Source organism: Homo sapiens, chromosome 18 (genome assembly GCF_000001405.40).
Source record: "Homo sapiens chromosome 18, GRCh38.p14 Primary Assembly".
Classification (NCBI taxonomy): Eukaryota; Metazoa; Chordata; class Mammalia; order Primates; family Hominidae; genus Homo; species Homo sapiens.
The window spans coordinates 54,827,828-54,839,945 of record NC_000018.10 but is presented as its reverse complement, the minus strand read 5'-3'; the positions used below and the strand labels follow the sequence as shown (position 1 = coordinate 54,839,945).

General features: G+C 37.8%; 1 protein-coding gene across 8 annotated transcripts in view; it reads right to left on the bottom strand.

Moving 5' to 3' along the window:
* The window catches only part of RAB27B (RAB27B, member RAS oncogene family), a 177,660-nt gene that overhangs the window by 55,571 nt on the left and 109,971 nt on the right, over positions 1-12,118 (bottom strand). For 4 of the 8 annotated variants that reach the window (XR_007066208.1, XM_017025913.2, XM_006722518.2 and 1 more), the window contains exon 3: positions 11,246-11,850. The exons of 3 other annotated variants lie outside the window; for them this stretch is intronic. The gene's annotated coding sequence lies outside the window, so the exon portion shown is untranslated. Of the gene's footprint in view, positions 1-11,245; positions 11,851-12,118 lie in introns of those variants that run through there. One more of the 8 variants, NM_004163.4, reaches the window with a different exon arrangement.

Below are 12,118 nucleotides of genomic sequence, written 5' to 3'. Positions count from 1 at the left end.
AAAGCAACTATTATTTATAATGTTATTGACTTATGTATAGACATTATGCTATAGTGTAAATGTACTTCTGGAAACATCACTGGAATAAATTTCATAAAAATATTCACTCCTGTAATTCTAGTATAAATTCATTTCTGATCCATGTGTACAGGGTAATTTTAAAGTCAGAGTAATGAAGTGATATTTGCTGCTAAAAAAGCAAACAGATACTCACCATTCAGTCTGCTTCTTAGACTTTTCTTAATTAGTGTTGGATTTTAGGTATACTCTCAGCATCTGGGGGTGCTAGATAGTACATCAGGACAAAGAAATAGGACCTTAGTAGATAAGAAACCTTTTCTTTTCTGCCCTTGTATTTATTTGTCCTTGGGACCCTGTGGTTTGGAGAAGACCTAACTGTTGCCTGCATTACCTAGTTCAGTTGTGCCTTGAAACCATTCCTTGGCCTGATTTTGGTAATTGGGTTACCTAAAACTGGAATCAGATTATGGCTACAATGGGAGAATGTTTGTTACTTTAACTCTCTTTCATCTTTTCCATGCTGTGTTTATTTATGGCACAAAGGTCTTGTAATCTTAGCAAGTTATATGTAAAAACTTATTCCAAAGAGAAAGCAGTAGTAGGAAAAAACAGAATTTGCAAAACTGTTCCCATTAAAGTCAAAATTACTAAAACTTTTGATTTTCTTACACAATAGCCTAGACTTGAACCCTGTTATATTCAATGAATGTATGCTTTTGCTGATAATAATTTGAAGCTGAAAACGGGGTTGCTTATTGTCAGTCTTTAGTCAAGGGTTTAACATCAATGCATATTTTCACCCTTGATAACCATGTCAAATAGTCATTATTTAAAATGATTCACAAGTGTTCATCATAAGTTGTAGGAGGACTTCTTTTCCAGCAATATTTGTATCCTTTTTCCATATTTATTATTACTGTCTCATATAAGTCCATATACTCTTTATAAAACAAGAGATTTGTCCCTATAATGTTAGCTTACTTACTAACAAAACACAAGAAAAAACACATTGATATTTCCCAAAATAATGTGAAAGGTTGATCAATTTACAGATGGAGATAACATAGAAGATCAGCAGTTGGATACTAGTTTAGTGAATAATATAAGTAGCCAAATGCTTAAGAAAAAAAATTAAAGACCACAAGATTGTATCAGAAATCTTGCCTGGAATATTTGTAGGTATGTGTCTAACTCGTAAGAGTCATTTAAATGTTCTCCATCTATGATCTCCACAACAGAAATAACTCAGATATTGCCATATTATAGGGAGCTTTTATGAAAAACATATTTGTTCAGAACTAGATGTCTCAAATGATGGATCCATAACAAAGAAAGTGTTATACACCTGAAATCCAGAAAGAACACAGAGAATATCTCAATCGAACAAGTAGGCATACAATATGTTCTCGTACTAATTATTAAATAGTCAGAAATACTTGTGATGGAGAGTGTGAAGCACCCAGATGGTGGTATAAAGAATTTTTATAAATGTAATAGAATATTCCCCAAACTTTTTCAAACAGTGGACTAGAAAAAAAATATTAACATGGAGATGAAGAAGGGGAAGAGAAGAGGCAGAAGAAGAGACAAGGTAACTTTCCCTAAATTTGGTCAATCATTTGACATGTTTTTCAAGTCAATTTCTTGACAATATTTTGCATATTATTGGAATCTACACAAATACTCATTACTAGACAATTATTCTGTAATTTTTTTAGAACATCAAGATACATTTTGTTATGCTTTGGTAAGTAGATCTTGAGGATAAAAGTGTTATCAATTTAGTGACAGCAGAGCTAGAACAAAGCTACTAATTAAAATGAAGAGAATGGGAGTTAATTTGCACTTAAATTAACATTGGCTGTACATCAATTATTAGAGCATGATATTAATGAGCCAGAATCACTTGATTCAATCACTTTCTGTTGGGTTCCCAATCTCTAGTACTAGAACATATTCCTGATTGAGACACGACTTGTCATTTTTCACAGGGTGGGTTGGGAGAGAACATAGGTGAAAAGAATTATGCATGAAGGAAACATTACTTAGTGATTGCCCCCACAGAAGCTACAGGCATATTTATTATGTCCTTCAATTGAACAACAATGATTTTAATAATAAATACATATATATACACACATATATATAATTAGATATATAACCTTAAATTTTCCCCAAGTCCTTCCAGAACTTAAATGTCTTTATTAGCCAAAGCAGAGTAGTGCTTGCAGAAAATAAAGAAAATAATTATTCCTCTCTTATGGTTACTCCACCTCCTTCTTTCCAGGACCTCCTTGACAGATGGCATTTGGTCTCATAGATTTTGGAGATCACCCGTGTGCCTGCATTTCCCAGTCATTATCACCAGCCTGACCTCTCCTGAGAGGTCTAGATTTCAAGAGTCATTTTCTTGAACGTATGCAATTGAATAACCACAGGTACCTCAAATGCAGTTCTTCTTCCTCCCCCAACCTGCCTTTCCTTTTGTATGCCTGATTTTCAATTTTGAGGACCACTATTTATCCATCTATTGCCTTAGTACAGCCAGAAATTTAGACTTTATAATAATTTCTCCTTTCCCCCAATGTCTGGTTAATGCCCACCCTCGCTAATTATTCCTTTAATATTAATATAACTTATCTTCTCCAACTTTACAATTTCAGACCTTTTGTATTTGCCACTCCTCACTGATCTCTCTACAGTTTTAACCTCCTTAAATTTATCTTCCTCTTTATTACCATAATACTGCCTTCAAACCACTAACTGAAAACTTATCAAGTTACATTAAAATTATCTGCTCATGTAACTCTCTATTTTACTAGATTCTAAGTTCTTTAAGAGTAGGAACTATATCTTACTGACAATTACAACTAAAGTACCTAATATGACCTGACAGATAGTAGGCACTTAATGAATGTTTTAAGCAAAAAATCAGATAGACAAAAATTATACCAGAGATTAAATTGGTATTGTCAGGTTTAACATGGTGACCAGGTCTTTTGTTGTAATAACATCATCAGCTTTAACCAACTTAACATTTTTCCTAATGTTTATAATGTCCTACAACAGGCAGAAATTTTGCTCCTTGAAGCATGTCATTAATTCTTGGATTTCTTATTTTCATCTTTTGGATCAAGTGACTATGCACAATGCATGTTTACTGTGGAAAACACCAATTAGAAAGCAGTTTTATGTTTAAATCCTCCGATTTTAATGTCTACACACTTTTAGAAAACATGATTCCTGAAAAATAAGTCAAAAATATTCTACTGGTTATAAAATATTGCAATGCAAACAGAACATCTTTCTTTAAACATATAGTTAATATTTATGAATTTTAATTGTTCCTTTTCTATTTTGAGTTAGTTCTCTGTTCTCAAGTTGCCAAGCTTATACCTTCATGTGTCTCAATATTTACGATATTGATTTTAAGAATCAACCTCACTGCTCTGGACTACTTAGACCTTGAAGGCTTTGTTTTACTAAAATCACTAGAATCTAACACCATCTAGAACTGAAGAATGGGAAACTGGTTTCTGGGTCCCTGGCCTCATGCATAAGTCTACCTTAAAAGTCAAAGTGAACTTTGAAAGGGTGAAAACTGTAAGGAATCAGAACCATGGAAAATACACTTGATAAGAAGATCTGCTGGGAAGCAGAATAACAATATAATTTGAGGGAAATTCATCTTCAAAGCAACTCAGTTATTATCATTTAATCACTTTCCAAAGAAAACCGCAATGTAGAATTTTATGACTTCCTCAGAGCTTGCACAGGAAACAGATGCCCAGCAAGGTTTCTCCAAGTCTACAAAGGACACAAAGCCTGCAGGTTGGTGTACCTGCACCTAGTGATCAGTATGTTCTGTCTTTATCCATTTTTCATCTCCTCCTCACCTTTATCTAAATATAAGCTGCTCTGTAATCACAGATGCATAAATTCTCATCAAGTACGTACATTCCTGAGGGCACCCAAATTAAGCGTGTTCAGAAACAATACTAATGAGTACTTGCTGGGTGCATTTTACTTTTGTCTTCTTGGTTTTCCTAGTAGGTAAGTGAAAAAATAAAATACAGCAAAGGAGATCTGGGGAGATTGTATAGGCCAATTTCAAAATAAGTAGCATCTGATGATGGCCTAGTGACTTTACACGAGAAAAGCAAACCCAAAGTTGCTCATTTCATCTTATTACTATTACTGCTATGCAGGCTTCATCAACTAGCATCTTGCTTCCAACTGAAGATTAAAGAATAGACTTTTCAAACATGATGGCCTATTTATTTAAGTCTGTTTTATTACGTTTTAACCCTCGGTTATAAATATGAGAATATTTTCGTTACAGCAATTTTTTCCTGTAACGTATGTTTTGCAGTGTTGTTTCCTAGGTTCTTCCTAATAGAAGCGTTTACTTCCAAACCTTGAGAGGCAGTATTTGAGAATAGGTATTACAAACCTTAGGAAGATTAAGATCAAAGATTGAGTGAGAAAGGGATAGATATAGGGACTGGGAATTACAGTTTCCATACAGTTAGCTGTGATATCTATCTTTAGTTCGCTTAAAGAATTAATAAATTTGCAAACAGGTTGCATTGCTCCTATATTTTGCAGCATTTGGGAGAAAGTTCCAGAAAATTAGAGGCTTAAGTTACTCCAAGGAGGCACCTGAGTCAATATGTGGCACCTCTTAATATTAGAAAACGTGTCTACTTTTTCAAAGGCACTAAGACATGACTAGTTTCTCTTTCCCTCTGAAAAATCTAATTTCATTTTGTATTTTTAATATTTATATATGTACAGGAACACTTATCAACAGTCCATTTTGTTTATGAAAATAATATATTTTGAATAATAGACCATAAGAACTGAATAATTCATTTAATGAACTTCTCAGGCTCTGATTACCTTGCCTAAGTTAGATTGGGCAAATATAATACAAGCTGATTTTGCTTTTACTAATTATTATTGTTCTGGTATATCCCTCAGGTCAGATTTAATACATAATCTCATTTTTTTTTCTGAGCAAGTTAAGGAGAGAAACAAGAAGAAAACAGATTAAGTTGACCCCAAGTTCAATATGATTGAAAATAAATTTATGTGCTAGAACGAAGCCAGAAAGAGGACTAAAATAAAGTCTTATGCTTTTTCCCTAAACGTTTTAAAATGAAATTTTCCCTCTATTATAGAGTTCATATGTTTCTATCTCTTCTTCCATGTTTACATACATGCACACACACACACACACATATATATACACTTATGCACACAGATTTATGTATAACAAAGATAATCTTAGGTAGATCTAAGGTTATCTATCTATTTATCTATCTCTACCTATCATCTATCTAGAGGGATAGACACATAAATGGAAGGAAGAAAAGGAAAAAAGAAGGAAGGAAGTAAACATCAAACAAGAATTATGTGTTGCCCAAGTCTAGAGCTGAACAGTAGGGATGTTAAAATAATCAACCCTTACCTTTTATTTTACACAGGAGAAAATCAAGATCCTTAAGGAGACTGAATGCCCTGTCTATAGTTATACACCACTCAACACTAGCAATATTTGACTAATAATAGACTTCCTACTGGTTTGATTTAAATCCCACCAATATATGAAGTCTATATCTCCTTTCTATGAAACTGTTCCCAAAATTATGTGAGTGGGTCTTGGTATCCTTGAATACAGCTGTAGCTACCTAGAAACGTTTTTCCTGCTTTTCTGGATATTAAACATTTGCTTTATATGGCAGCTACTACTTAATTTGCTTTGATCTGTTTTATATTTTATAACTATACTTTCACTATCAATTCTTAATTTAAAAAATCTAGAACACATTATCAAATATTAAACAAATTGTGTTCTTGTATTTGTAGGATTATAGCTTTGGATGAGAGCTTGAGGGTTGTTTAGTTCAACCTCCCAGTAGAAGTCATCTCTATAACAGCTCTGACAAGTAAGTTTTAGGTTGCTGCACTTCCTGATCTTCATTGGTCTTGTCTAGTTTCTGCAATGACTCTTCCCCATTGGTGCCTCCAGACTCACTTTGTGCCTCTCTCTGCCACCTGCTTTCCATTCTCCAAACTCCTTTTCTCAGTTTCTTGAACGCTCCAAGCTCTTTCCCAGGTTAAGAATTCAGCAAATCCTTTTGCACTGTCTGGTTTGTTCTTTCTCAACCCCTTCACCTGACTAGCAACCAGGCAACCTTTAGGTCTCAACTGAAATGCCCTTTCCTCACAGAGGTCCTCTTGACAACTTCTGCCATTAGTCTTTCTCATTTAAAGAAGTTATTTGCAGTCACAATAACTTCTCAGCTTTCTTTGATTTTAATTTTCTTTTGGTGTTGTCTAGACCTTCCATTTTGAAGGCTATTTTCTTTCATGTAGAAAGAAGAGGGATTCATGGCCGGGTGCAGTTGTACACACCTGTAATCCCAGCACTTTGGGAGGCCAAGGCAGGCGGATCACCTGAGGTCAGGAGTTCAAGACCAGCCTAGCCAATATGGTGAAACCCTACCTCTACTAAAAATACAAAAATTAGCCTGGAGTGGTGGCACATGCCTGTAATCCCAGCTACTTGGGAGGCTGAGGTGGGAGAATCGCTTGAACCCCGGGGAGGGAGATTGCAATGAGCTGAGATCGTGCCATTGCACTCCAGCCTGGGCAACAGAAACTCCATCTCAAAAAAAAAAAAAAGAAAGAAAGAAAAAAAGAAAAGAAAGAAGAGGGAGATGACCCTTCTTTATTCACTGCTTTGTTTCAAACAATGTGAAAATAATCTTTTGCTCTCCTGAGCATTTTTTCCCAAGCTTCGGCTCACTGTGCATTACTCTTCTTCAAACTATGCTCACAGCTCAGACAACACCTTCGTTAAGTATTTCTAATTATATGTTTCCTTTATTCATCTGTTCTACAAGTCATTTTAAAAAATTGAATTTATTAGAGCTTCTATGTACGTAGCCTCATGAGTTTTTCTGGGGGCCTCTTTTCAATTCTCTTTAGAATTAGGTGAAATGCTATTTTCAGAATTTTTTATAGTTTTTCTGAATATCTTATATTGAGAACTCCATCTCTTTCCCGAGCTGCCAATGATTCCACACCGCCACATGCAATCATCACTTCTCTGTCCTCATCTCACTGTTTATCTTGGCCCTGTCTGACACCATTGACCACACCCTTCATCCTAAAAAAACATCCTGGCTTAGGTTCATGATGACACTCTCTTCCGGTTTGCCTTTCACTTGAATGGCTTTTTACTGACTCCTCCCATACAAGGTCCCAAATGTCCGAATAAGCCAGAGCTGCGTCCTCAAGCCCCAATTTTTTCTCTGTAATCTCTCTCTCAGTGATGTCCTCAAGGATATCACTCTAAATAGTATCCATAGCCACTTGCTTCTCAAATTTCTATATCCAGCTATGATGTCCTCTAGGTGCCCCAGATTCATATATGCAAAAGCCCAAGCTGATAATTCCACTTGGATGTTGAAAAACGCTTCAAAAGGCTGCAAATAAATTCTTCATTTCCCATTAAAACCATTTCTTCCCTAGTTTTATCCATCTTAGGAAATGGCCTTCTGTCTACCCAGTGTCTTCAGTAGGAATCCTGTTGATCATTTGGTTCTTTCTTTTCTTCACCTCCACCTTTATCCAATTTATTAGTAAGTTCTGTCAGCTCTGCCTTCAAGTGTTTCCTGAATCTATCTACTTCTCTTGGTGGCCACTGTTCTGACCCTAATCTTTGCCACTGTTGTAGTTGGTCTACTGGAATAGCCTCCTAACTGGATTCTCTTCTACTCTGGTCACCCTACGACTTAGTCTCTTCAAGGAAGCCAGAGTGATCTTTTAAAAACATCACCTGGCCAGGCGCGGTGGCTCACATCTGTAATCCCAGCACTTTGGGAGGCCAAGGTAGGCAGATCATGAGGTCAGCAGATCGAGATTATCCCGACCAACATGGTGAAACCCCGTCTCAACTAAAAATAGAAAAATTAGCTGGGCATGGTGGTGCATGCCTGTAGTCCCAGCTATTCAGGAGGCTGAGGCAGGAGAATCACCTGAACCCGGGATGTGGAGGTTGCAGTGAGCCAAGATCGTGCCAGGGCACTCCAGCCTGCCAACAGAGCAAGACTCTGTCTCAGTTAAAAAAAAAGAAAAAAAAAATCACCTCCCCTGAGGCTTTTCTTGACCACCGAATCACACAGTCCCCTTCAGGTCACTCTCATTGTATTACCCTTTAACATTTTTTCTTCTTAGTATCACTAAAAGTTCCAGAATTACTAATTTGTTTATTTACTTATCCGTCTCTTTCCAAACCCCAGATATAATGTCCATGACAGCAGAGGCCTCGTATATCTCACTAACATCTGTTATCCACAGGGCTTAGACGAATATTAAAGTTCATAGTATGCTCAGTAAATATTTATTGAAAAATGTTCAACGGGCTATATCTAAATCATAGTGTTTTGTCATTTTACTTGGAATAAAAAACAAAGGCCAACATGTTCATTAGGACCTTCAAAGTCCTCCAAGACCTGTCCCCATTATCTCCTCTCCCCCATTTCTTGCTACCCCCATCTCACTCCCTCTGTGCCAGGTTCATGGGCTTCTTTGCTGTTCCTGAAAGATGCCAGAATGCTTCAATCTAGAATGCTCTTCCTCCACATATCTACATGGATCATTCCATTACTTGCCTCTGATTGATATTAAAATATCATCTCAGTGAGGCTTTTCCTGGGCATCTGATCTAGAATTTCAGTCCTCCCTGACACCGGCCACTGACACTTTCTGCATGCCTCCTCGGCTTTATACTCTCTGCTGAGCACTTCTTGCTACTGTGCCATAGACTCACCCTGCTTATCTAGGTTGGTCTTTGTCTCCCTGGTAAAAGATAAGCTCTACAAGGTCAGGAATTTTGGTCCACTTCTGTCCACACAGAGCCCTGAACAGTGCATAACACTCTTACCAAATATTTGTTGAACAAATGAACAAGCAACTTAATTATCTCAATATATTGAGCAGTTGTTTAGTTAAAAAGACAAAATTTATTTAAGATTTTTTTGGCCATTTGATAAACAGAGTGTTACTCTCCTTATTGGCAATCTAGACAAGTTTGTCTTATTTAAGGAGTGCCAATGGGAGGTTAATATTTGGAGAACATGAATAATGATTGCAAAGGGTGTGAAAGAAATTGAGTAATACTATCAACTCCATATTTGGGGTTTACAATAGGTATGTTATTATGCATAGTGATGTTGCTGCTTGCTACTTCTATAGTATATACTTAAGCCCATATATACCTAATAATGAATTTAAAAAAAAAATCATTCCCATTTGGCAGCCATCTTTAGAAAGTGACATATTCTTCATGGGAAACACCTGATTTGTCCTGTCTGTTTTTATTGAAATCATTTCCTTGCATCTCAACATTACAATTACTTGCTTAAGAGCTGAACTATTGGTCAACCTGCCTTGATGAATCAACTGAAGAAACTGGATTGTGAGATGAGTTTTATATGAGTAATTGTTCTATATTTCATGCCGTACTGATCTGAGAGCCCAAAAACCTAACCAAAAATTTGCAGGAGTGAGGGTGGGAAAAGAGCAGGTTTCTATTCTGAACTACCTGGACATTTGGATAACTTCCATTTTTCCAGAAAAACAGTGAAATAAATGAACAGCAATTCTGAAACCAACATACAGTTGTAGTGTAAACTGGCATACCAACTGATCTTCTACCAAGAAGATCAATTATATTAGGGTTACCTTCCCTATTGGGTCAAACATGCCTGTTCCAGAAATGACCTATGAGAAAGGGGAACTGTGGTTTGCTTACATTCAACAGATTCCCTTTATCCCTTCTTGGCAACTATGAGAACAGGCTCATCCAGTTTTATCTGCTATGTTTTGTTTTCCTTTCGAAAGCAATGACAGTAACACTGTATGAGAGGCCATAGTCAATTCTGAAACAGAAAAGCTCCATTAATATTAAACTATCTGTCAAGATTACCCCTTTTTGGTCATTGGTAGGAATCACCTCTTGCCTTCAAGGATGGCTGACCCCATCTGGGTAGAGGATTATGCTAGGAAACTATGAAAAATAACTATTTGAGGGGCAATGGCACATGACAGGTATGTCTCTCTCTTCATCACTGCAATATGGACTTTACAGCAGCTTGAAAATTCATTAAACTTAAATATCTGAGTTTATATTAATGCTTAAGTCTATCCTTTCCCTCAACTTTTCAAAATTTATAACCATAAAACCCTGTATATTCTATATATGAATGAATATGTGTGAATATAACTAAATATTGAGAACTGTAGACATTTTTCTTATAAACAGAACAAAATCAAAATTCAGAGCTGTATTATATTAAACAATAATTTTGTTGTTAATAACCTTGAAATTTATGTTATTACTTTGGGCTTAATTTAATGATGTGCAGTTTAAAACAACTGGAATTACATACCCTTAGCTTTACATCTTGACATAAAAAACTCACAAAACATGATACAGGTGTGAAGGCTCTAACCAAACACAGCTTTTTCCTAGGAATGCAGTCTCTGCTTACAGTTCACCTACTTCAGTAGTTTTCAGAGGCTTAATTAATGTTGCATTGGGTGGGAAAGTCTTGAAAGCTAATTTATTGTGATCAGTTGGGTGAACACACATGCACACATATACCCTAGTTGGTGCAACACTTAGATCAGAATTCGAAAGTAACAGAGCAAAAAATTGGAAAACAGAAAGTACTCTTAAGGTCTCTGTGGCTATTTCATCTAAGGAAGTGCATATAAATGTCTTATTGCTCTCCTGGCTTGCCTCACTAAGTCGCTCCTCCTGGAATGAAACTCTGAGCACATCATCATCCATGCTTTTTCTTATTCATTATTTTGATTGTTTTTTGAGATGCAAATGAAAGGAAATTGGCATTGCTGTGCCTAGGCTTTTTGTTTTTCTTTTTGCTTTTTTTGGTGGTAACCAGCTGTTTGATAAGCAAACACTCAAGGAGAGCCAGGTCGAGTTGGCCCATGCCATCCGTGCAGCACACAGCACTACTGTCTTCTTTGCAAGGATTTCTGCTGGAAACCGCGATCGAAGGTGCACACGCACTCACACATGCACACACACACACACAGAGGCCTCACTTCCCACGGCGCAGGCCGGCGCTGCAGCACCCGGGTGGGTGGGAACGCGTTCCAGCAGCAGCAGCCCGCCTTCCCAACTCACCAGCCTGCGAAGTTTCCTTGCCGGGAGAGCAGGTGTCAGATTTCAGAGAGGTTTCCTTCCCCTTCCCAAGCCCTGGAACTCCCGGGCTCCACCGTCAGCAAGGAGACAGGATCTGCTCCACAGGGCGATGAGCACGGGGACAGCTACTTATCTCCTCCAACCTGTGGCTCCGGATGGGTCCAAGGCCGGGCGGTCCGCAGCCCCTGCCCGTCAGGACTGCGAGTGGCAGGGCTGGTGGCACCACCCTCGGAGTCCGCCGCGGCGGCGGGGCTGGGTAAGGTTTGTGTGAGAAGAAGGCGTGTCTGCAAGTCCCAACGCGGATGTGCGGAGCTCACCTCAGGCAAGTCTTGCTGGTGACTCAACTGCTGCAGTGAGAAACACACTCCTCTCGGGGATGAAGTCTCCACACTGTGGGGCTTCTAGCCTTACCAGCGAGCTCATTTTTATTCATTTTTGTTCTGTGTTTTCTTTGATGTCTCTCATTCAAAGAGCCCAGGGCGCTGTGAGAACTGGGGCCCTGACATTGCGTTCTCTCCTCCGAGGGGGTGTCTCATTAACTATGAGGAGTGAAGGCGAGGGATTGCGAGTGGGGAGCAGAGGATGGCCTCGGGAAATAAAAGAGGGCGTTGGAAAGAAATTAATATTTTAAAAGTTAGGATGTGTTCGTATGAATGCATTAATCAGTATGCAACATCCAAATTCACTTCCCAAAGCCCTAATTCACTTCCTAAAGTCACTTCAGAGATCAATAGGTTACCACTAAGTAAGATAATGAGCACACGGAGGCATTGAACCAGTATTTGTTAAGCACCTACTATGTGCTATGCCGTGTTCTAAACACATTAGATTCGTCCACAAAGCAAAGATCCTGGC